Consider the following 25,897-nt stretch of genomic DNA (forward strand, 5'->3'; position numbering starts at 1 on the left):
TAGGCAATGCATGCACAATGGTACACAATTCCAAGAATACAAAAGGGGAGGAAGAAAAAGATAAGGCTTCCTTCTACCTGGGCTGCCAGCCACCCATGCCTCTCATAGGCAGCCACCATTACAGCCAAAGAGGCAGAACATGAACAGGCCTCGGCTCGGCGCGATGGCTCACGCCTGTAATCCCAGCACTTTGGGAGGCCGAGGCAGGAGCATCACAGGGTCAGGAGATCGAGACCATCCTGGCCAACATGGTGAAACGCCATCTCTACTAAAAATACAACAAATTAGCTGGGTGTGGTAGCACGTGCCTGTAGTCCCAGCTACTTGGGAGGCTGAGGCAGGAGAATCGCTTGAACCTGGGAGGCGGAGGTTGCAGTGAGCCGAGATCGCGCCACTGCACTCCAGCCTGGGTGACAGAGTGAGACTCCATCTCAAAAAAAAAAAAAAAAAATTAGGTCTCTGCTTTGCTCTCCAGTCCCACTTGCCTGGTCAATATCTCAAAGGCACCCTGAGCTCATTAGGTCCCAGATAGGCCATCTTCCTCCTGTTACAAGAAAGTGGTCCCGAGCCAGACCACAAGAGAGAGTTCTTTGGATCTCGCATAAGAAAGAATTCAGGGCAAGTCCACAGTGCAAAGTGAAAGCAAGTTTATTAAGAAAGTAAAGAAATGGCAGGGCACGATGACTCACGTCTGTTATCCCAGCACTTTGGGAGGCGGAGGCGGGCGGATCACCAGGTCAGGAGATGGAGACCATCCTAGCTAACACGGTGACACCCTGTCTCTACTAAAAAGAAAATGAAAAACTAGGCGGGCATGGTGGCACACGCCTGCAGTCCCAGCTACTCGGGAGGCTGAGGCAGGAGAATCGCTTGAACCTGGGTGGCAGAGGTTGCAGTGAGCTGAGATCGCGCCACTGCACTCCAGCCTGGGTGACAGAGCAAGACTCCATCTCAAAAAAAAAAAAAAAAAAAAGTAAGTAAAGGAATAAAAGAACAGCTACTCCATAGACAGAGCAGCCCCAAGGGCTGCTGGTTGCCCATTTTTATGGTTATTTCTTAATGACATGCTAAACAAGGCGTGGATTATTCATGTGTCCCCTTTTTTTAGACCATATAGGGTAATTTCCTGACATTACCTGGAATCTGCAAACTGTCATGGCGCTGGTGGGAGTGTAACAGTGAGGATGACCAGAGGTCACTCTTGTCGCCATCTTGGTGGATTTTGGCCAGCTTCTCTACTGCAACCTGTTTTATCAGCAAGGTATTTTTGACCTGTATCTTGTGCCGACCTCCTATCTCATCCTGTGACTTAGAATGCCTTAACCCTCTGGGAATGCAGCCAGTAGGTCTCAGCCTCATTTTACCCAGCCCCTATTCAAGATGGAGTTGCTCTGGTTCAAACTCCTCTAACACTCCCAAACAGGCTTTTCCTCCAGAGCTCCACGCTCAGAAAGCTCACTCCTCACCATCCAGTGATCACAACCAGAAACCAAGGACAACAAACCTCTCCCTTACCCCTTATCCTACCAGCCCCAAAGCCTATCCATTTTATCTCCAAAATGCCTCTCCACTTATCTGCTTTTCTCCAGTCTCACCCACCACAACCACCCAGCATCTGTCCGGGACTGGTCCACACCTTAGCCTCTGCTGTCTTCCTCAGACCCACCCAGTCCCTCTCCCCTGCCAGGTGGTCGGGCTCAGTGCTGATTTGAGTCCTCAGACCCACCCAGTCCCTCTCCCCTGCCAGGCGGTCGGGCTCAGTGCTGATTTGAGTGCACAACCACCCAGCGGGGCTTCTGCACGCCCTTGGATCAAAGACAAATTCCCTTCCTGGCCATACAAAACCCTGAGTGACCTGGAGCCCTCTCCCTCCCTCCCGCGTCCCCTCAGTACTCTTCCTTCCATCCCACTGAGCGCGTTCACTTACACAGGGTGCTTACCAGTCAGCTTCCCAGCTGTGGAATCTCTGCCGGCTGCATTTTTTGAGTAAATGGCTGTATGTACAAAAAGAGTTCACATTCATTCCTCTTTTTTTCTTGGAATGGGCAGAGCATGTTAAGTAGAATTTGATGATGGAGACGATGAAGAAATTCCTTGACGTTAATCTGAAATTGATCACTTGTTTAAAATTACACAAACACATCTTGCTTTTGAAAGAACCAAAGGGAAATACCATTCAATGCCAAAAGAGGCCTAGGAAAGCAGGGATGAGCTCATTTGAAAAAGCCCCAGGAGCCTGATCAATGTCTAGGTTCTGGCTTTCCCAGAGGAGCCTCACTTGCCTTGCTTATGCTTTCTGCATGCAATACCTCCCAGTGCAAAGAGAGGGTAGTCACAGGCTCTGGGTGGAATGGGAGATCCCCATTTGCCCCCACATCCTTCCTCCTCCTGGCACATTGGTCTACTGGGTAGCAGCCCTCAGGCTGGGGGGAGCTCCCCAAGGGTTCCCTACCCAGGCCTCTGCCTCACTCTCCACTTCCAGCTTAGTTTTCCCCTCTTCCGAGTCCCTGGATTCCAGGGGACACCAGCTCTGTGAGCATGAACACTCAGACTAGGGGAGAGGCCCCGACAGTTGGCTGTGCGTGCCCAGAACTGCCTATCCAAGTAGACTTCTGCTGTCAAGCCAGAGACACTAAGGAACACCTACTCAATGAGCAGTAAATCCCTCATGACGCTAGGAGAGGGTGGGCACACCCATTCCATCTCCCGCCCACCCCACTCCACACCCCACCAATCGCACTCACCCTTGATCTCAGCCAGCTGTCCCCTGGTGTCCTCCACTGGCCTTGGAGATGCAGGAGTACGGGAGAAGCGGAATAAATCCCACCCCAGCAAGAAAAATACAGGTCCCAGAGGCACTCAACAGACATATGTTCCCTTCCTCCTTCTCTCCTGGTGACAGTGACAGATAGGGGCCCCCTGGGGCGGGTGGATATTTTCATCTTCCAAGAGAATGCACTCCATTACTCCAGGACTTTTCTGTCCTCTCCGCCTCCACACAGCCTTCCAGCCTAACACTCAGTCTCTCAAGGAATATTCTTGACACTTTAAAGGATCTGGCCAGCACATAAGCCAATGTGGCTGCATTCTTTAATTAATATTTATTGAGTGTCCCTATTAGGTGCCTGGCAAGCTCAGAGTGTTGTATGTGGCTAAAATATCTATTCCCCTTCCTCTCCAAGAATGTGCGTTCCTGGACAACCCAGGAATGTGGACATGCCAAGTAAAGGAGCAGCACACTCTAGCAACAGCAAGAGCTGGGAGTCCACAGACAGAGGCAGGACTCAGGGCCAGAGGGCAGGGGCTTGAGCCCTGGGGTCCCAGATGGGCTGTGTGACATCTAGCAGGTAATGTCACTTCTCTGAGCCTGTGTCTACAAAAATGTGATTGGCAATATCACTCTGCCTGCCTCCTGGGGCTGGGAATGTTGTAGAAACCAAGTAAGATCACATAAGTGATGTCTCTGGAAAAGTTTAAAAAGAATACCACATATTTCCTCCTAAATAAAATCTTTGGTGTCTGTCTTGATAGGCACAAAAATTGAATCAGGTTTAAAAGAATAGGATCCTAGGAAGTCAACATCTGAAAAACGCTATTCGTGGCATGAATTTAGATTTTGAGGCTCTGATCCAAACTGCGGATGAGCGCCTTTACCCTTTGATAAATATTAAATATACTCATCTTCAATTCTGTATCTTCAATTATATATATATCCTTCCCAATGTGTATGTATGTATATATAATACATATACATATAATTGAAGATTATATAAATGTATTATATACGTATACAATTATATATGTATATAATACAATTATACATGTATGTAATCTTCATTATATGTACATGTATTACATGTACATACACACATACACATTGGGAGGAAGGACAGTCCTTTCCAGAGGTCCCTTTGCAACAATTTGATGCTGCATAGTTGCAAATGCAATAAACTCTATGCATGTGGCTATGAATTAATTAGACTGTGAGATACCGTAAGTGAACAGTTAGGTATGCAAACTTCAGAATTTTAATTTCTTTTCTTTTCTTTTCTTTTTTTTTTTTTTTGAGACCAAGTCTCGCTCTGTCACCCAGGCTGGAGTGCAGTGGCACAATCTCGGCTCACTGCAAGCTCCGCCTCCCGGGTTCATGCCATTCTCCTGCCTCAGCCTCCCAAGTAGCTGGGACTACAGGCGCCCGCCACCATGCCCATCTAATTTTTTGTATTTTTAGTAGAGACGGGGTTTCACCGCATTAGCCAGGATGGTCTCGATCTCCTGACCTCGTGATCCGCCCGCCTTGGCCTCCCAAAGTGCTGGGATTACAGGCGTGAGCCACCGCGTCCGGCCCAGAATTTTAATTTCATCCATTCTTATCGGATGTGTAAGTTGGTGTCATCTTTCTGGACAGCAGCAGACGATTTGAATCAAGAGCCTTAAAAATGTTCCTGTGGATACACAAAATGTGGTAAATTATACATATATATAGTTTCCATCTATAATAGTCCACTACACACACACACACACACACACACACACACACACACACACACATATACACATATATATGATGGAATATTATTCAACCTTAAAAAAGAAAGAAATTCTGACACATGCTTCAGTACGGATAAACCTTGAAGACATACTAAGTGAAATAAGCCAGTCACAAAAGGACAAATACTGCATAATTCTACTTATATGAGGTAGTCAAATTCAGAGTATAGAAAGTAGAATCAGCCGGGCACGGTAGCTCATGCCTGTAATCCCAGCACTTTGGGAGGCCAAGGCGGGCGGATCACGAGGTCAGGAGATCAAGACCATCCTGGCCAACATGGCAAAACCCCGTCTCTACTAAAAATACAAAAAAATTAGCCGGGCGTGGTGGCGGGCGCCTGTAGTCCTAGCTACTCGGGAGGCTGAGGCAGGAGAATGGCGTGAACCCGGGAGGCGGAGCTTGCGGTGAGCCGAGATCGCACCACTGCACTCCAGCCTGGGCAACAGGGCGAGACTCCGTCTCAAAAAAAAAAAAGTAGAATCAAGGTTACCAGGGGCCGGGCAGAGAGGACAGGGAATTATTGTTTAGTGGATATGGAGTTTCAATTATGGAAGATGAAAAAGTTCTAGAGATGGATAGTAGTGATGTTTGCACAGCAATGTGAATATACCTAATACCACTGAACTATATGCTTTAAGATGGCTAAAATGGTAAATTCTTTCTTTTTTTTTTCGAGGCAGAGTCTGGCTCTGTCACCCAGGCTGGAGTGCAATAGCGCGATATTGGCTGACTGCAACATTTGCCTCCCAGGTTCAAGCATAAAATGGTAAATTATATGCATTTTACCACAATTTTTAAAAACGTTCCAATTCTCTGACCCAGTAATCCATCTAGATATCTGCTCAAAGGACAAGAACAGAAGATTAGGTGGCTCACAACTGTAATACCAGCACTTTGGGTCACAGGTGATAAAAGTCTTTGATACTGACCACATTGGGTAGCCAGCAGATGAGGTTCCATCCACACCAAGTGTCATCACTCAACTAACCTTGTGACCTTGGACACATCACTAAACCTCACTGGGTACCACCAAAAGAGGCATCAAGAAAGGCAGTGGTTAGAAGCACAAACTCTAAACTCTAGAACTAGGCTACCCCAATTCAAACATTGGCTCTGCCCCTTACACTCATTATGACTCAATATTCACATCTGTAAAATGGGGGGATAATAATAGCACTTTCGTTGTAGGGTTGTTCTGAGAATTAAATTAATAATTGTATTAAAATACATAAAAGTTCTCAGAAAAGTACCTGACACATAGTAGTGTTCTATAAGTGTTAGCTGTAAAAATAACAACCATCAGCTGGGCGCTGTGGCTTGCACCTGTAATCCCAGCCATTTGGGAGGCCGAGGCAGGTGGATCACCTGAAGTTAGGAGTTCAAAACCAGCCTGGCCAACATGGTGAAACCCCGTCTCTACTAAAAATACAAAAATTAGGCCAGGTGTGGTGGCTCACGCCTGTCACCCCAGCACTTTGGGAGGCCAAGGTGGGCGGATCACAAGGTCAGGAGATTGAGACCATCCTGGCTAACACAGTGAAACCCTGTCTCTACTAAAAAGAAATACATAAAAAATTAGCCAGGCTTGGTGGCGGGCACCTGTAATCCCAGCTACTCGGGAGGCTGAGGCAGGAGAATGGCATGAACCCGGAAGGCAGGGCTTGCAGTGAGCCGAGATTGCACCACTGCACTCCAGCCTGGGCGACAGAGCAAGACTCCGTCTTAAAAAAAAAAAAAAAATTAGCTGGGCGTGGTGGTGGACGCCTGTAATCTCAGCTACTCGGGAGGCTGAGGCAGGAGAATCACTTGAACCCAGGAGGCGGAGGTTGCAGTAAGCCAAGATTGTGCCATTGCACTCCAGCCTGGGTGACAAGAGCAAAACTCTGTCTCAAAAAAAAATCAATATTATTATTAATAAAATTTAGCTGTACATGGAAAAAAACAACTCTTAGGCTAGAAGGTAGATGACCTCATTTAAAGATGAAATTTTAGATCCTGAAATAAGAGATTCTGTAGAGTCTCTTTTCTTGGGAATTGTGGACTCAGAGTTGGGAATAACATTAGAAATAATCGATAAGAAAGGTCATTCAACCTGTCTGAAGACTTTCAGGAACTGTGAGTTCCCTGCTTTCAAGGAAACCCATTCTTCCTTGCTGAACTTTCTAGTTAAAAGGCTGACTCCAATCTGAGTTGAAATTTACCGCTTATAACTTCCAGCTATTTTTTTTTTTCTTTGAGACAGGGTCTGGCTCTGTTGCCCAAGCTGGAGTGCAGTGATGACACTGCAGCCTCTTCCTCCAGGGCTCAAGCAATCCTACACACCTCAGCCTCCCAAGTAGCTAGGAGTACAAGTGTGCACCACCACACCTGGCTAATTTTCTAAAAATTTTTTGCAGGGACGGTGCCTCCCTATGTTGCTCAAGCTAGTTTTGAACTGGCCTCAAGTCATCCTCCTGTCTCCTGTTCCCAAAGTGCTGGGATTACAGGCATGAGCCACTGTGCCTGTCCTAATGTCTACCTATTGATCCTACTCTTACCTTCAGCAGCTGCATAACAAATGTAATCTAATTCCACCTGCCAGCCCTCCTTGAACACCTTCCTGCATCCTCCTTCACCCTCTCTCCTATCAACTGAACATTCTCTCTTCTGTCAGGTGATCATCCCAGGACAGGACGTCCAGCTCATGGTCACCCTCCTTTGGGAGCCTCAATTGGTCTACATTTCTGTTAAAAATTGCCACCCAGACTGCAGTGTTTGGGTCTGGAATGTTCTAGCTATGAATGAGGAAGGGAAGGGAAGGGAAGGGAGAGGGAAGGGAAGGAGGGAGGGAGGAAATGAGGAAGGAAGGAACGAAGGAAGGGAAGGGAAGAGGGAGGGAGGGAGGGAGGAAAAAAGGAAGGAAGGAAGGAAGGAGGGGGAAAGAAGGGACGGAGGGAGGAAGGAGTCTAATCAGCATCACAATATACAAGAACCATTCTCTCCCTTGTGTTTTTAATGACAGTCCCTTCCTTCCTTCTTTCCTACCTCAATAATTAGCTTTTCCAGGAGGAGCTTCCGGAGCTCATTGGCTTGGGGATGGGGGCATGCCTCCCCAGATCTTCTCCCTCCCTGGGGAGATAGGGCCGCAAGCCCCACTGACCAATGCCCATTCACTCTGGGAGCCTGCCAAAAAAAAAGGCAGCACAACAGAAAAGCCGAAATCAGAAAGAAGCCCTCTTATCATGCAAATAAAGAAGCTTGCCAGTGACTGACTCAAAGCATCCCATCTCTCCTGATAGATGTAGGATATCGGAATGTTCATTAGTGCTGCTTAACAGATATTTCCGTTTCCATTCCCAGGTGAAAGGTAGAACTGCATATCCCCGGCCCGGCCCCCCTTGGAGTGAGGGTAGCAATGCGTCTTGGTTTAGCCAGTGAAATGTGAGTGGCAGAGCCACACACTATTGCCCTGCTCTTCTAGCCTGCCACTGGCAATCGTGCCCACCTAGAGATGGGATGTCCCTCAGTGGAGATGACCAGAGCAGAGCCCTCCAGGCAACCCAGGGTGGACACAGAGCATGAGTGGAAAATGGACCTTTGTTGCTGGACCACTGGAAAAAAGGGTTGTCGGGGGGTATAATATGTCTATGTCTACTTGCCAACTTGACCTGACCTCAGGGATCCTGGGGAACAGAAAATGGAATCTCATATAGATGGAGCCACAGGGACCTAGAGAGAGGCCCAGACCCTGTCATTCCCAGGTGTGATCTTGAGAAAGTCACTTGGACAATGCAGGCCTTCATTTTATTTATATTTTATTTTATCTAATTTTTGAGACGGGTCTCACTCTGTCAGACAGTCTAGAGTGCAGTGGCACTATCACGGCTTACTGCAGCCTCGACTTCCCAGGCTCAAGTGACCCAACCACCTCAGCCTGTACGTGGGATTACAGGCGCACATCACCATGCCCAGCTAATTGTTGTGGTTTTTTGTAGAGACAGGGGTCTTGCTACGCTGTTCAGGGTGGTCTCCAACTCCTAGGCTCAAGCAATCCACCTGCCTTGGCCTCCCAAAGTGTTGGTATTAAAGGCATGAGCCACCACAACTCTAACAAGAGTTTTCTTAACTCTACAAGAAGAGATTCTGGTTAGGTGATCTTCCCTCAGCTCACACAAAAGACAAGACAATCTTAGTGCAAGATTAACATCTTTGGGGGAATCTAGGTGAAGGTTACACAGGATATTTCCATAGTATTTCTTACAAATGCATGTGAATTTAAAATGCTCTAAAAAAAAAACTTTTAAAAAATTGAAATAAAAAAAATACCCTTAGAGTTGAACCCAGTTCTCAAAGCACTGGTTTGTGGGTTTTATGGTAAAATTCTTCGGGACAGAAACTCCTCCAAAACCCTCAATGGGGTTTCCTGAGTGTGGGGAATTTGGCTGTGACCCTCATTCCTTCTCCCTCAGCTGGACTCAACCCCACCCATCCCCAGACCTCTGGAGAAGTTGCTGGCAACCTAGTCAACTCTCAACAATGGCAAACGAAGAGTTGCCATTTTCTTCCTTAGTTACAAAAATGAAATATTGAAAAAATGTTTATGTATACTATCACAATAGGTGTTCTTTCACAATGTAAAAACTTTCAGGGCCAGGTGCGGTGGCTCACGCCTGTAATCCCAGCACTTTGGGAGGTAGGGGCGGGCGGATCACCTGAGGTCAGGAGATTGAGACCATCCTGGCTAACACGGTGAAACTCCATCTCTACTAAAAATACAAAAAATTAGCCGGGTGTGGCGGTGTGCGCCTGTAGTCCCAGCTGCTGGGGAAGCTGAGGCAGGAGAATGGCGTGAACCCGAGAGGCAGAGCTTGCAGTGAGCCGAGATCACGCCACTGCACTCCAGCCTGGGCGTCAGAGTGAGACTCTGTCTCAAAAAAAAAAAAAAAAGAAAAAAGAAAAAGAAAGGGGTTTTACTGCTCCCTAGAGAGGCCCAGTGGGACAGCCCTTGTTTTAGACAGGGAGCAAGGACCCCAGGCTGATGGCCTCATGCCCCCAGGTAAACTGTTTGAACTCTCTAAATTTATTTGCCTGGGGGAGCGTTGGGGGAGGGAAGAGAGGAGTGTTGGTCTCTCCCAGCTCTAAAGTTTTAATGCTAGAAATCAACTTAATTAATTAATTAATTTTTATTTTTATTTTTATTTTTTATTTTTGAGACAGAGTCTCATTCTGTCGCTTAGGCTGGAGTGCAGTGGTGCGATCTCGGCTCACTGCAACCTCCGCCTCCTGGGTTCAAGCAATTATCTGCCTCAGCACCCCAAGTATCTGGGATTACAGGTGTCTACCACCACGCCCGGCAAATTTTTTTTGTATTTTTAGTAGAGACGGGGTTTTACCATCTTGGCCAGGCTGATCTTGAACTCCTGACCTAATGATCCACCCGCCTTGGCCTCCCAAAGTGCTGGGATTACAGGCGTCAGCGCCCGCGCCTGGTGAAATGAACCTATTTTATATAATTTCTTTTCTTTACCTTCTTTTTTTTTTTTGAGACAGAGTCTTGTTCTGTCACCCAGGCTGGAGTGCAGTGGGCGATCTCGGCTCACTGCAACCTTCACCTCCTGGGTTCCAGCAATTCTCCTGCCTCAGCCTTCTGGGTAGCTGGGACTACAGGCGCACGCCACCATGCCCGGCTAATTTTGTATTTTTAGTAGAGACAGGGTTTCACCATGTTGGCCAGGCTGGTCTCTAACTCCTTACCTCAGGCGATCCGCCCACCTTGGCCTCCCAAAGTGCTGGGATTACAGGCGTGATCCACCTCGCCCGGACTATTTTATATAATTTCTAAACTTTTTATTGATACAACTTATTAATACATATAGAAAAATGCATATGGATCTTAAGCATACACCTTGCTGAATTTTTCAAACTGAAAACACCTAGCTAGCCAGCTCCCAGCTCAAAAGGCAGAACATCACCAACCTAGACTCTCCTTCCCTTCACCCTCCCACTCACTCCCCAAGAGTAACTACTAGTCTGGCTCCTCACACCTGAGGTTACTTTTGCCTGCTTTGAACTGTATATGAACAAGATCACATTTTTTTTTTTTTTTGAAACGGCGTCTCGCTCTGTCACCCAGGCTGGAGTGCAGTGGCACTATCTCGGCTCACTGCAAACTGTGCCTCCCGGGTTCAAGCAATTCTCTGCCTCACCCTCCAAGTAGCTGGTATTACAGGCATCTGCCACTATGCCCTGCTCAATTTTTTTGTATTTTTAGTAGTGACAGAGTTTCGCCATCTTGGCCAAACTGGTCTTGAACTCCTGACCTCATGATCCACCCGCCTCGGCCTCCCAAAGTGCTGGGATTACAGGCGTGAACCACCCCACCCAGCCAAAGATCATATTTTTTAAAATGCACTTTTTTTTAAATTTCAGTTTACACCTAGAGGAATTCAGGATGGAGTTCTTTTTGGTTTGGACAACTGCAAGCTACTTTAAAATCACAATACATGGGCTAGGATGTGATTTAAAAACCAAATTATTTTACTCTGCCTGATCAACTCGCCAACCGGTCTCGGCAGTTTCTTTCTAAGGGTCCCCTGGGCGCCATTGCTAACCCTTCCCCTTCTTAGAATGCCTAAATCCTGTGAATCCTGTGATTCTAAGGCCCAATCTAGACCAGCTAAATTGGGTCTTTTTATTTTTTTTAACCTTTTCTTTTAGAATATTTTTAGGTTTACAGGAAGGTTGCAAAGAGAGTTCCAGTATTACCCCATATTCAATTTCCATCTTAAATTATTCTGTCAATATTCGTCACAACCCTGAAACTAGCGTTGGTATATTACTATTAACGAAATTCCATACTTTACTCCAATTCATTTTTCCCTAACGTCCTTTTTCTCTTCCAGAACCCATCCAGGATTCCACACAGGTCAAGTATTTTGTAGAATGTCCTTCAACAGGATTTGTCTGATGTTTTTCTCATCGTTAGACTGGAATTATGGGTTAGGGAAAAGAAGTCCACATCATATTGCGGTGCATGCTGTCAACATGACTTAGCACTGGTGATGCTGACCTTCAGCACTGGTCAGGTAGTGTTTGCAGGTTTCCCCACTATAAAGTTCTTCTCTCCCACAACCTCCTTCCATACTGTGTGTAGCCTTTGGAAGCAAATCACTAAGGGCAGTGCACCCTCAACGGGAGAGGGAATTAGGCTCCACTTCCTTCAGGGGAGTTTACCTACATACACAGATACGTAGTGTTTTGTCTACATGAATTATTTGAAATTATCTGCATGCGAGATTGTCTCTTCTTCTCCATGCACTTATCCAACCATGCCTTTGTATTAGCATGGGTTCATTCACAAGTATTTTATTTATTTATTTATTTATTTATTTATTTATTGAGACAGAGTTTCGCTCTTGTTGCCCAGGCCGGAGTGCAGTGGTGCAATCTTGGCTCACTGCAACCTCTGCTTTCAAGTGATTCTCCTGCCTCAGCCTCCCGAGTAGCTGGGGTTACAGGTGCCCGCCACCACGCCCAGCTAATTTTTGTATTTTTAGTAGAAATGGGGTTTCACCGTGTTGGCCAGGCTGGTCTCAAAACTCCTGACCTCAAGTGATCCGCCTGCCTCAGCCTCCCGAAGTGCTGGGATTACAGGCGTGAACCACCGCACCCGGCCCCTATTTTATATTTTATATTTGAATCTAATACTACATTATTGATTTTGTTGTTCCAGTTGTTCCAGGTTTGAGGCTGGGCCCTCTTTCAGGTTGGTCCCTGTGTCCTTCTGACATACCCACATCCCTTTCATCTTGAGCACTTTCTTACTTCCCAGAACCACAAGGTGTTCCGGACTCATCTTCAGCATTTCCAGCCCCAGTCCTAGGATCCGCCATTTTTGAACATTTTGAACAGAGCAGACTGGCCACTTTTGACCCCTTTTTCCATTAAGATGTAGGTAGTTCTCTTGCGGGAAAGAACCCAGCCTTATTATCTGGTGCAAGCCAGTCAATTGCAAGTAACTTGAAAGGGAGTTCAGTGTTTTACAGGGTGTTTGTTTCCATGGCTGGCATAGCTAGGACCTCACCTTCAGGCCCATCGCCCTTTCTCTCAAAAGGTTTTCAGTTTGCTAGAAGCCACTTTCCTCCCTCACTTTACTTAGATTGCAATGTAGACCCGCCCCAAGTGAGTCAGGCTAAGGAGTTGAGAGAATAATTTAGAGAGGCCCTCTTCTCCTCCTGCAAGTCCTTTGACCTGCCAGCCTGCAAATCTGCTATATAAAGATAGATAAGTAGCCAGCTAGCTACACACACACACAAACACACACACACACACACACACACACACACACACCCATATACCAAAACCGAGAAGGCTACGGAGAGAGGGCAGTGGAGGCATTCACTCTGAGAATTACTGTTCAAAGGGGAAAAACAGGGAGGCACTTGGGCAATCCAGAAATGCAGGTCTGAGCTGGCCTAGGGTTTTAGCAAAGGAGGAGTGAGTTCTTCAGAACAGGACCAATTAAAACCTTTTAAAGTAATTGTTCCCCTGCCTTCTTTCAAAGTTGAGCTCTAATCGTGGCCTTTCATTCTTCCCACCACTCCATCATTTTAAATTAACCTTGCGATTCCCTGCAGCTGCCTCTCACCCATCACAGACATGCTAATGCACGTGTGTGCTGCTGGGGGGCGGTGGGAGGGGACCCTGACACTAGCTTTGTGAAACAGCATCCCTGTGGGCTCTGTTCCACTCACCCCCCTACCCACCCTGGCAGAGCAGAGGGGAGGGAGGAAGGAAGCAGGCAGGTTAGCAGAGCGCAGGACCAGGCAGTAAAGTCTCCTAGCTGCGCTACCTCGCTACCTCGGGGTGTCCACATTACTCAGCCCCTCGGAGCCATGGGGGTGGGGAGGGCAGGGCCTCCTGGGACAGGACCATAAACCGTTTATGAATCCCTAAATGTCACACATCAAGTCGACATCACCTGTTCACCTTCATTCTTCTCTCCCTTTGTGAAAAGTCTCTCTTCGCATTCCCTCCGGGCCTCTCCCCTCCTGACCCTTTGGAGTAGGAGCCTTCAAAGCCCTGAAGGTTCCCGAGTGATGTGGGAAGTAAAGTTCTCAATGGAGGTCTCCTCCTAGTGAAAGGGCACTCTGTACTTAATGGAACTGGCCAGACCGTGAAGGTTACCTTGACCTTGTCTGCATGATAAATACAACTGGAGCGGGGCGGAAGGCACACCATTCAGAAAAGCAAACTGCTTGCATCTTCTTTATTTTTAATCTCACTCCATTTTGCTTCTCTGCAGGATCAAAGCAAGTTAAGGAGAGACAGCCTCTGTCTTTCAATCCTAGGGGCAGCTCGTGCAGTCGCCCCGCCGCGGCCACTCTCCTAACACGGGCAGAGGGGGCAGCGACGTGCCCCGGTCGCTCAGCCAGCTGGTGGCAGGGCTGTGACGGCAACCCAGGCCCCCAGACGCCTCTCCGCGTCTAGGCGCTTCCCATAATGGAAGGCTTCGCTCCATTAAAAGTTATTTTAGGGAATCCACAAGCCCACCGCCATCCCCCCCAAAGTGGAAATTTTATGTAAACGAGTCAAAATAAAGCAACAGTTTCTTAATAAGTATGTTTGGAGTTACACTCTGGACTAAGACGAGCCGAATCGGGCGAGGGGATGCGGACTTAAAGGTTCCAGTGTTCTTCTCCATACGGCAAGACTATTTTTAAAAATTTAAGGACGTCTTCCAGTCCACAGTCCACACCGCCTACACCCCCGCAGGTCAGACAGGCGCGAGTTCAGCCCGGTGACCCCGCCATCCTCGCGGCCCCCACCCTGGGGCCAGGGAAGAGGGCGTGGCCGACCCCAGCCCCCTCACCGAAACCGGGCCTGTCCCCTCCCCCATCGCGGTCCCGCACGGCGGCGGAGGGGCCGAGGGGTGGCGGCACCGGGATCCCGCCGCCACCCCGGCGCGCACGGAGGCAGGGTTGGGGGAAACACGATTCCTGGGGAGATTGGAGGAGGCGATGCCGCCGAGGCTGCGGGGGAGTTCTCCCGGAGAACTCGGGGGCCGGGTGGGAATGCGACCTCCAGGGCAGCTATCGCTGCTCCCCCGTAACTGCCGCAGGGACCCTCCCGGGGTGGGGGTGGGGACGCGGGGCTTCCGTCCCTTCCGGGCCGCGGAGGTGCAGGCCCGAGGGGCCCGTGCAGTCAGACGTGCAGTGTGCGCGGCCCGTGACTCAGCCGGGTGGCGACGCGAGGCCGGGGAGGCAGGGGGAAGGGGCGGGCGGGCCGGGCGCGCAACCGGGACCCCGCGGCCTCGGGAGAAGCGAGGTGCGCGCGCCCAGGAGTGGGGGGCGGGGCGGCGGGCGCGCGCGCAGCGGAGGCGCCGGGCGGCGGCGAGGGCCGGGCCGTATGCCGTCTTCCCGGCGCCGCGCTCCCAGAGCTCGCGCCGCCTCCCGGGGCGCCGCGCGGGTGGCGCAGGTAGAGGCCGGGCGGGGGTGGCAGCCACCCCGGGGCTCAGGTTCCAGCCGCCAGGCTTGGCCCTCAGCGGGCGCTGTCAGAGGGCGGGCCCGCGGGAGCGGGGCGGCGGCGGCGGCGGCAGAGGAGCGCAGGGCGGGCGGAGACCGTCGGGGTCACCTCTCCAGCCCCCCGCGGTGGCCGAGCCACCCGCAGTTGCGCTCGAGGCGCCGAGGCGGGGTGGCCGAGCGAGACCCGGGCCGGGCGCGGCTCGGGCCGCACAGCCGCGGCGGCGGCTGCAGACCTGTAAACCTTAATGACAGCAATCTTGCCCGTCTGCGCCTCTGACTCACGTGGTGACCCAGCCTCCAGTCACCCGGCGGCCGCCCTCCGGCCTCAGTTTCCCCCGCCGCCGAACAATGAAGCCACTGTGTCGCCGTTCATTTCTGAGCGCCGTTTCACACGCGGAGCGCCGCCGCCTCCCTGGGGAAGGGACCGAGGCGTCCGGCTTTTAATTATCCCCGGTGGGCGGGCGTGGGGAGGCCGCGCTCTGCTGGATAATTGAACCCTGGGACTATTCCCTCGTCAGCCCAAGCTCTTTATCTTAAGCCGTCCTTTCCTCTTCATCGTATTTAAATTTTACCCCTTCCTCTCCACGCTGGTGGGACTGCTTGAAAAACAATGAAATGGGCCGGTTAGGTGGCTCACGCCTGTAATCGCAGCACTTTGGGAGGCCCAGGCTGGGGGATCACCTGAGGTTAGGAGTTCAAGACCAGCCTGGCAAACATGGTGAAACCCTGTCTCTATTAAAAATACAAAAAAAAAAGGGGGGGGGGGAAAGAAATTGGCCGTGCATGTGGCGCATGCCTGTAATCCCAGCTACTTGAGAGGCTGAGGCACGAGAATCAGTAGAACCCGGGAGAAGGAGGTTGTAGTGAGCCGAGATGGCGCCATTGCACTCCAGCCTGGGCGACAAAGCGAGACTCCGTCTCAAAAAAAAAAAAGAAAAGAAAAGAAAAGAAAAGCAATGAAATGACTCCCCGCCTAGTTTAGGCAATTTGTGTTTTCCCGAATATCAAGGGTTCAGTCAATTTGCTCGCAACGAACTTGAGCCCTTCCTGTGGGCCAGGCCCAGTGTGCCCAGCACTGAAGCCACCGCTGCTCAGAAGCCACAGCAGGTTCTGAGGAGGCACAGCGGCGGAGAGGCCACCTCTTCCTGGTTCTGTTCTGCAGGCATAAAAGGGATCAGACTACTGACGGGCGAAGCTGAGTAAACCCCACATACATTATTATGCTGAGTGAAGAAGCCAAACACAAAAGGATACATATGGTGTGGCCCCCATTTATGGAAAACCCTAGAAGAGACAAATGTAGTCCCTAGTCCACCAAAAGTATTGGTTGTCTTGCGGTGGGGGTGGGGGCAGTGACTGGGATGAGGACAAGGGAATTCTGGGGGTGATGGAACTGTCCCATATCTTGATTCAGTCTCTGGCACCTGCGACCGCAGAGCACTCCCCACCCACCTACCGGCCTCTCTGGACCCTGAGACTTCAGGTTACTGAGGAGTCAGTAACCTTCCCCACTGGAAGGCCTTTCCCCCATGGCCCCTCACCCCCCATTCCTCCCTGGCCCTGGGTGCCCCATTTCCGGGAGCGGTTATGTGGATGGAAGTATACAGTTGTCCCAACTCATCCAACACTGAATGCAAAATGGGTGCATCATACTGTATGTAGGTGGTACCCCAAGAAAGCTGGCCGAAGCCCTAAGGGTGTGGGAAGCCAGGAGGCTAGGAGGCTTGGTGAGGGTAGCACTTTGGTCATGGAAGGGGATGGAGAGGAGAAACGTTGCTTGTTGAGGTCTCCAAAGAGAAGGCGTCACATGTTTTATGGAAATCTTACAAGCCCCAAATGTTACTATTATTATCCCCGTTTGACTACTGGGGAAACAAACTTAGGCTGAGTGAGCTGCCCAGCCTCCCTAACCCTGTCCCTGGCAGATGGTACTGAGAGGATCTGTCTTCCTCTCTCAGTGGACACGACAGATTCATCGCTGTGTGGGGGACACCGAGTGTGAGCGTCAGGGTCAGCAGCAGGGCCTTGGAGGCAGAGGGGACCCTGTGAGAATCCTGCCCTCTTTCTAGTGCTGTGACCTGGGCCATATTGGCTTCTCTCAACCCCAGGCCAAGTCCTCCCCTGTGTAAGATGGAGAAGGTCCCACCTCGGGCCTGGCGTGAGGAGATGAGGGCGCTTAGGTGGGTGCCTGGTTCGAGGCGTGCCCGTGGTGTTAGCTGTACCTCTGTGACCTTGGGCGAGTCCCTTCCCTGTAAGGGCCGCAGTGTCCTCATCTGTAAAATGAGAGGGTGGCTTTAAAGTGCCTTCCACATCCTGGTATCCTGGAGTATTTGGAGGGGCCACGGGGGAAAAGCAATGGAGGAACTTCCGGGGAGGGGCAGCAGGTGCAATTGAAGGAAGGAGGTGTCCCGGGCATCCCCATTGCTTCTGTGGAACCCAGGAGGGTGAGGGGTCTGTGGGGTCGTGTTCTGACCCATGTCCTGCACCATGAAGGGGAGATTCCTCCAACACCATGGCTGAGGGGGCCGCAGCATTGCTGGAACTCATCAAGGGCATAGGGGGTGGGGCTTTGCTCCCTTAGGAAGCGGCCTCCTCCACCGTTGGGCAGTTCCGGTTTCCAGAACATCATCCTTGTGTGGACCCAGCATCTCCCCCAGATCTCTTCTGAGCCTCCGACCAGGCACCTCAAGCTGAGGGCATCCCTTGACCAGGAATATTTTCCTCGGCTCAGTCTGTCCAGACCGTTCCCTCCCTAACTAAGGGATAGTCCAGAGTTCTGGAAGGAAGGGCCTTCCTGAGGGGAGGCCAGCTGTGCCTGCCCACTGAGGACCTTCAGCCCGTTCTCTGCCATTGCAGACCCCGTGTCGGCCCCACTCCCAGGGGCAGGCGAAGGCTTGGCCACTGAGACACCTGAGTTTCTGGCTCTAGGACGTGGCACCCTCACAGCTAGGCCTCCCAGCTCTCCCTGCACAGAGGCCACCCAGCCTGGGAGGCTTGCAAAGTGCAGCACAAATTCACACACCCCACATCACACACACCCACACACAGCACACACACATACACCACACGCATACCACACTAATTCTCCATTCTCACACCATGTACACACAACGCAACCCTCTCCAACCACACATACCTCGCTCCCTGCGTGTGTGCGTATATACCACATCCCCCACCCCCACACAACACACAACACAACCCTCTCCAACCACACATACCCCGCTCCCTGCACGTGTGCGTATATACCACATCCCGCACCCCCACACAACACAGTCACACTCTATACCCAGAGAGTCTCACATGTAGCACCCAGGTTGTGTCCTACACAAGGGTGCCCAGCTGAGGGTCTGAGGCAGCTCCCAGGGTCCTGGGGCAGGGCTGGGCACCTGGAGGGAGGAAGGGTGCCTCCTAACTGGCATGAAGGTGCCCTGTGCACTGGCTGAGACTCTGGCACCCATGACCACAGAGCACTCCCCACCCAACTCCAGTCCTCTCTGGACGGTGAGACATCAGGCCCCTGAGGACCCCCAGCCCTCCCTACTGGAAGGGCCTGCCCCATGCCCCACTCCACCATTCCTCCCTGGCCCTGGGTACCCCACTAGTGAGTACCTGGCTCCAGGCACAACTGGCTCTTCTCTCTCCAAGCCCCTCAGTCTCTTAGTACCTGGACCATTCCCTTCATCCCCCACATGCTTATGGGGCACCTGCTGGTGCCAGGCCCTGGCTCAGTGCTGGGGAGCCAGAGGGGACAAAGTCACACTCATCCTCAGCAGGCATCTGCCATCTACACACCAATGGCCATGCCCAGGGAGCAGGACTGTGGCAGAACATCCCTGGCAGCTGTGGGAGCCCCCTGACTAGGGAGCAGTCAGGGAGAGCTTCCTGAAACAGGTGGCAGTAGACAAAGGCACACGCCTTCTAACTGCTGTGACTCACTGCACGCTGATCTCTGCCCCCTCTCACCACAAAGGGAGGCCGTGGTGTGGAATAGAGACTGGGCTTTAGTCGCAACCTTGGGAAAGTGTATCAGCCTCGGCCTTAATGTCCTTGTCTGTGGGATGAGAATTTCAACACTGCCCTTGCAGGAGAATAGTTGAGGTGGCATAAGGTGGGTGCTGAAGCCAGACAGACTACCTTCAGTCTCAGCGTCGTCACTATGAGCCATGCAACCTTGGGGAAGCTAGCTTCCCTTTCTGGCGCAGTGTCTTGTCTGTAACATGGGAGTCCTAACAGGAAGTCTCTCATAGAGTTATTTTGAGTATTTAAAGCATTTTGATTTGGAAAGGGTTTAGAATAGTGTTTGGCCCACAGTGAGCACTATGTGTACAGAATATATGGACATGCTGAGCAGTCCTGTAGGTCATGGGGGCTCACCAGATACGCCATGATGAACATGACCTTGGATATGTTTCTTCCCTCTGGAATTTGAACTCTTTAACTGTCTCTGAAGGGAGAGATGGCAGGCTGGGGCAGAGACATGTTTGCTGTGCTCCATGGAGACTCACAGCCAGCCTGGGCCTTGGTTTGTGGAGGGGTGGGGCAGTGACAAGGAGGTGCCCTCGGTCCATAGGTGAGTGGCCAAGGGTGCTGACCTTGTGCCCATCTCCTCCCAGCTGGCACTGTCTCTGGGAAGATGTAATGCCACCCATGGTGATTTCATTGCGGCCCTAACCTCTCCTTTCCCTGAACATAGGCTGCCCCTTGGCTTCAAGCAGATTTCCATTATTACTCCTGTCTTCTCATTCATTTCCTTCTTTTCTTTTTTTTCTTTATTCTTTTTTTTTTTTTTTTTTTTTTTTTTGAGAGACGGTCTCCCTCTGTCGCCCAGGCTGGAGTGCAGTGGTGTGATCTCGGCTCACTGCAACCTCCTCCTCCTGGGTTCAAGCAATTCTCCTGCCTCAGCCTCCTGAGTAGCTGGAACTACAGGCACCCACCACCACACCCGGCTAATTTTTTGTATTTTTAGTAGAGACGGGGTTTCACCGTGTTAGCCAGGATGGTCTTGATCTCCTGACCTCGTGATCCACCTGCCTCGGCCTCCCAAAGTGCTGGGATTACAGATGTGAGCCACTGCACCCAGCATTTCCTTCTTTTCAAAGTAAATATGTAAATACAAAAGAGCCTGGCCGTTCCTTGCAGAGTTGAATATAGATTTCCTCTGTGACCCAACGGTTCCACTCCTCAGTGGAATGAAAACATGCACCCTCATCTGTGACATGGGAGTTATGACAGTAATGACTTACACAGGAACGCATCCGTGAATGTTCACACAGCATTGTTCATGATAGCCGAGAGGTGGAAACAACCCAAACGTCCGTCCACAGATGAGTGGATAAATAAAATGTGGTCTATCCATACCATAAAATATTATTTGGTCATAAAAAGGGGTGACAGACCGATACGTGTTCCCACATAGATGGGCCTTAACATGGATGAAGACTTCATGCTATGTGAAAGAAGCCAGATGTTGAAAGCAACATATTGTAAGACTCAATTCATTTGTTTTTGTTTTTGTTTGAGATGGAGTCTCACTCTGTTGTCCAAGCTGGAGTGCAGTGGTGCGATCTCGGCTCACTGCAATCTCCGCCACCCAGGTTCAAGCGATTCTCCTGCCTCAGCCTCCTGAGTAGCTGGGATTACAGGCACCTGCCGCTGTGCCTGGCTAATTTTTGTATTTTTAGTAGAGACAGGGTTTCACCATATTGGCCAGGCTGGTCTCAAACTCCTGACTTCAGGTGATCCGCCCTCCTCAGCCTCCCAAAGTGCTGGGATTACAGGCATGAGCACCATGCCCAGCCAACTCCGTTTATTTGTAATGTGCGGAATAGAAAAATCTATACAGACAGAAAGTAGATTCGTGGTTGCTTCAGGCTGGGGAGGAGGTGAGGGTGATGGGGGTTGGGTGGGAGGAAGATAGCTAGCAGATATGGGATTTCTTGCAGTGATGAAAATGTTCTAAAATTGACTGTGGTGATAGTGGCATGTATCTGACTGTCCTAAAAATCATTCAGTTATACACTTTGAATGAATGATTGTGTGATATATGAATTATATCTCAATAAAACTACTGAAACAAATAAATACACAAGGAAATACAAATATGGTTCTTTCCAGCCAGGAAAAGTGGTCCTCTTTTTGGGGTGGGGACAGAGTAGCAAGTCCGGGGCAGAGCTTGGTGTCTTCATGATCTCCCGCAAGCACCTCTCCAAGCCCATGGGCCACCCACAGTCTAGACTATCCTTCCCCTTCTTCTGTGACTGCGTGCACAGTACAGCTTATCTCACCTTCCTGCTTCCCTTCCTCCCCACCGCTAACTGCCCAGGAAATCCCTCTCACTCACTGTTCGGCACCCAGCTCACACATCACCCCTCCTCTGTGTGTCTGCTGGCCACCCTCCCCCAGAACCTTTTGCTCCCTAGTGGGCGTCCCTAGGATTTTGCTTGTTTGGTCGTTAAGGGGATTATGATTCTTTAGTTGTCTCTTTCCACAGGTGAGCAGAAATTCCTTGCAACTGTCTCATACCTGGTTTATTCTTGGAACAAAACTAGGTGCTAAATAAATGCTTGTACAGTTAATTTGTAAACAGGTACTTGAACTGAACCAAAGAATCACAACTTTCCAACTGAAAAGTTCAACCCTGAACTCAGATATGATGATGATGATTTTTTTTTTTACCGATTCCTTATTTGTCAATTTTCTTTAACCCAAGAAGTACCCAATGAACCAGTTTGAATTGGAACCAGATCTATGCATGTTCTAAATGTATTCCAGTTGGACTGGAATAAAATTAGAACAATATTTTCCAAGCTGAAAACATCCCAAACTAAAGCCTTAAGGGTCTAAGTGCCCTTTGTTCAAGGGACTCTTGAAGGGCTGGGTCCCTCCTGGCCTTGAGGTACCTGAGACCCTAAGGTTCTCAGCTTTCTGAAACTTGTCCTGATCTCCCCGTGATCCACTCTCATAATGAACTGTTGTGACATGGAAGCCAGAGACGATTATCTCTGTTTTACAGATAGGGATCAGCCCTGTCAAGGTCACACAGGCAGGACCTGAGGCCAGATCTGCCCCTGCAGGCCTGGTTCCTAACCACTCTGCTATTTGACTCCATGGCAGGAAAAACATCTGCCAAAGACATTCCCTTAAGATGTCACCATAAAAAGGCTTAAGGTATTAGTTCTCTCTAGGGCATTTTCAGACAGTTCTTGGGGAATAGCTGTTTGTAAAAAGAGCTCACCATTTACTGGCCTTTTTTTTTTTTTTTTTTGATCACACCTTCTAAAGTATAAGCTGTTGGTAGAAAAGCATCTGCCATTGGTTTAGTATTCCCTGTGGGAATAGATTCTCCTGTGGGAGGCTCTGATGCTGGGCCTGCCCTGGAGATTCTGGCTCAGTAGATCTAATGGGTGGGGGTGGGAAAGGGGGTTCTGCTTTTTTTTTTTTTTTTGAGACAGAGTCTCGCTCTGTCGCCAGGCTGGAGTACAGTGGCGCAATCTCGGCTCACTGCAACCTCCACTTCCCTGGTTCAAGCAATTCTCCTGCCTCAGCCTCCCGAGTAGCTGGGATTACAGGCGCATGCCATCATGCCCAGCTAGTTTTTGTGTTTTTAGTACAGCCAGGGTTTCACCATGTTGGCCAAGATGGTCTCGATCTCCTAACCTCATGATCTGCCCGCCTCAGCCTCCGAAAGTGCTAGGATTACAGGTGTGAGCCACCGCACACTGCCAGTTCTGCATTTTTTAAACAGGTCCCTGAAGTGATCCTGAGGCTCACTGCAGTTCATGCACCATTGTCATACAGCACTGAGCGCTTGGCAGGCAGCCAGGATTTGCTGATGAAAGGAAGGAAAAACAGAGAAGGAAGGGACTGAGAGCTCACTGAAGTATTTCACAAGATAATCTTTTTCTGCTTGGTACACAGTAGGTGCTTAATAACAGTTGCATGTACAATAAATGAATGCCTGTGGTCATCCAGACCAACAGGCCAGTGAGCAGCCTGGGGACCCATTGGAGCTCCTCCAGGGTCACTGTGCTCTCCAGAAGCGGTAACTGCTAGCCACATGTAGCTATTTAAATGAAAATGAAGCTGGTCACAGTGGCTCACGTCTACAATCCCAGCACTTTGTGAGGCAGAGGTGGGAGGATCACTTAAACCCAGGAGTTTGGAACCAGCCTGGGCAACACAGTGAGACCCCATCTCTACAAAAAATTTTCAAAAATTAGTTGGGTGGGTGGTGCATGCCTGTAGTCCCAGCTACTTGGAAGGCTGAGGCAGGAGGTTTGCTTGAGCCGAGAGAGGTCGAGGCTGTAGTGAGCTGTGATCATGCCACTTCACTCCAGCCTGGGCAACAGAGAAAAACCCTGTCTCAAAAAATAAATAGGCCAGGTGCAGTGGCTCACACCTGTTATCCCAGCATTCTGGGAGGCCAAGGCGGGCGAATCACCTGAGGTCAGAAGTTCAAGATCAGCCCAGCCATGGTGAAACCCCATTTCTACTAAAAATACAAAAAATCAGCCAGGTGTGGTGGTGCACACCTGTAATCCCAGCTACTTGGGAGGCTGAGGCAGGAGAATCGCTTGAACCTGAGAGGCGGAGGTTGCAGTGAGCCGAGACTGCGCCATTGCACTCCAGCCTCGGCAGCAAGAGCGAAACTCCATCTCAAAATAAATAAAATAAATAAAATAAAATAAAATAATTAAATAATTAAAACAAATGAAAGTCAAAGATGAAGTTCCTCGGTTGCCCTAGCTACATTTCAGGTGCTCCATAGCCACATGGCTCATTACTACTGTATTGGGCAGCATAAATGCAGAACATCTCCATCATTGCACAAAGTCCTACAGGATGGCAGTGGGTGGGTGGGGTGGCTGTGGGTAGAATGGAGAGGAGAAATAGGAGAGGTGGAGAGAGAATGAGAAGGCAGAATAAAGAGAAAAGAGAGAAGGGGCACAGGTGCTGAGGTTGAACAGTGAAGGTACAAGGGCTCCCGGGGCTTGATGGGTCACTAGCCTGGACTGGTCACTGATGCAGGCTTCAGGTCAGGGCCCAATTCTCTTCTCTCCTCTAACAGTGCTTCAGGAGAGCTGAGGAACTTGTTGGATATGGAGCTGGGCACAGCAAAATCTCCACCCCCAGCTCAGATGGAGGAGAAACCTGGTGCTCCAATAAAGGAGTGTTTATCCCTTTAAGAGTCACAGCCCTGTCCAATTTTGAATATAAATTTTCCTTGAATCTATCACATATTGCCCTGAGCAGAGTTGAGTGCTTTCTTGGTGACTCGCGATCCCCTCTATGAATCTTATCATTTCCTTGGGCTTTGAGAGCCCACGACTTCAGAGCACTATGGCAGCCAGCACCCCACCACCCCATCCCTATACCAAATACTCCAGACAGCCAAGTTTTGATCATTTTTTCCCATAACAGTTCTTTTCCCTCCTTGCACCTTTTTCTCCTGCATGGATTTGGATATCTGTTCACACAGGCAGTTGCAACTGTACGTAACATATGAATTCAAAGGTTTTGACTGAAGGCTCACGAATAAACAAAGAGCTTGTGTTTTAGAGCAGGGGTTTTTAATGTCTATTTGGGCTGCTCAGAAGTCTTTTCTATTTTAATTCTGGTCCTATGGGGGTTTTAGATACATGGATTTGTGACTAGTTGACATGTCACCACTCATTGTAAATAAATACAGTTTCTTTTTTTCTTTTTCTTTTTTTTTTTTTTTTGAGACAGAGTTTTGCTCTTGTTGCCCAGGCTGGAGTGCAATGGCACAATCTCGGCTCACTGCAACCTCCACCTCCCGGGTTCAAGCGATTCTCCTGCCTCAGCCTCCTGAGTAGCTGAGATTACAGGCATGTGCCACCACACCCAGCTAATTTTGTATTTTTAGTAGAGACGGGGTTTCTCCATGTTGGTCAGGCTGGTCTCGAACTCCCGACCTCAGGTGATCCGCCAGCCTCAGCCTCCCAAAGTGCTGGGATTACAGGCATGAGCCACCGTGCCCAGCCTGTAAATACGGTTTCTAAAGAGATCAAGTCCTTGCCCCAAGATGCTTCTTTTAAATTACCCATGACTATCCACCGTGTCTTCGAAAGTGGGGATCAGAGCTAAGACTGTCAGCAGCACTTTCTCGTCCTCTTCTTCCATTCTTTCTCCCTCCCCAAAAATAGAGGCTTTGGGATTCTCCTTGTGTACAAGGAACCACCAAGTCTGACTTTTTTTTTTTTTTTTTGAGATGGAGTCTCACTCTGTGGCCCAGGCTGGAGTGCAGTGGTGTGATCTCAGCTCACTGCAACCTCTGCCTCCGGGGTTCGAGCGATTCTCCAGCCTCAGCCTCCTGAGTAGCTGAGACTACAGGTGCCTGCTACCACGCCTGGCTCATTTTTGTATTTTTTAGTAGAGACGGGATTTCGCCATGTTGGCCAGGCTGGTCTCGAACTCCCGACCTCACGTGATCCACCCGCCTCAGCCTCCCTAAGTGCTGGGATTACACACGTGAGCCACCTCATCCAGCCCACCAAGGCTAACTTTTGAGGCCTTGGAGAGAGCTTTGGGGAACTGTTGGCTCTACCAGAGAGACCAACCCCCTATAAGATTTGGGCCATGATGACATTTCCATCCTCCAGTTCCCTGAGGAGGTCAGCCAGATAGACACCTGCTCAGAATCAGCCCTCTCAAGAGTGTCTTCATTTTAAAATAAGAACTTTTGGGGGAATAATGCTGAACTGAATAGCGTGGCTCTTGAGGGTGGAATGTCATGCCCAGGGACTGAGTGGGGACCACACAAGCCGAGCCTGTGGCCCTCAGCTGCCCAGTCAGGCCCTCCGAGGTGGCGGTGGCTAAAAGA

General features: G+C 50.0%; 1 long non-coding RNA gene across 1 annotated transcript, besides 5 other annotated features; it reads right to left on the bottom strand.

The window, feature by feature from the left end:
• On the bottom strand, positions 990–4,058 carry LOC105372108 (uncharacterized). The gene is made up of 3 exons (XR_935456.2): positions 2,745–4,058; positions 1,941–2,105; positions 990–1,245 (listed from the first exon to the last, which is right to left on the bottom strand). It is a non-coding gene; the product is annotated as an uncharacterized LOC105372108 (long non-coding RNA).
• Positions 1,520–2,313: an enhancer, noted in NCBI's record as "H3K27ac-H3K4me1 hESC enhancer chr18:46488965-46489758 (GRCh37/hg19 assembly coordinates)". NCBI's record gives its function as "activates a minimal SCP1, AML or CMV promoter by ChIP-STARR-seq in primed H9 embryonic stem cells {active_cell/tissue: H9 hESC(primed)}" and the evidence as "EXISTENCE:reporter gene assay evidence [ECO:0000049][PMID:30033119]".
• Positions 14,660–14,779: a silencer, noted in NCBI's record as "silent region_9442". NCBI's record gives its function as "represses an Ori minimal core promoter by ATAC-STARR-seq in GM12878 lymphoblastoid cells {active_cell/tissue: GM12878}" and the evidence as "EXISTENCE:reporter gene assay evidence [ECO:0000049][PMID:35858748]".
• Positions 14,880–15,179: a silencer, noted in NCBI's record as "silent region_9443". NCBI's record gives its function as "represses an Ori minimal core promoter by ATAC-STARR-seq in GM12878 lymphoblastoid cells {active_cell/tissue: GM12878}" and the evidence as "EXISTENCE:reporter gene assay evidence [ECO:0000049][PMID:35858748]".
• Positions 15,210–15,329: a silencer, noted in NCBI's record as "silent region_9444". NCBI's record gives its function as "represses an Ori minimal core promoter by ATAC-STARR-seq in GM12878 lymphoblastoid cells {active_cell/tissue: GM12878}" and the evidence as "EXISTENCE:reporter gene assay evidence [ECO:0000049][PMID:35858748]".
• Positions 22,773–23,274: an enhancer, noted in NCBI's record as "NANOG hESC enhancer chr18:46510218-46510719 (GRCh37/hg19 assembly coordinates)". NCBI's record gives its function as "activates a minimal SCP1, AML or CMV promoter by ChIP-STARR-seq in primed H9 embryonic stem cells {active_cell/tissue: H9 hESC(primed)}" and the evidence as "EXISTENCE:reporter gene assay evidence [ECO:0000049][PMID:30033119]".

The sequence above is a fragment of the Homo sapiens genome, chromosome 18 (genome assembly GCF_000001405.40).
Source record: "Homo sapiens chromosome 18, GRCh38.p14 Primary Assembly".
In the NCBI taxonomy this organism is placed as follows: Eukaryota; Metazoa; Chordata; class Mammalia; order Primates; family Hominidae; genus Homo; species Homo sapiens.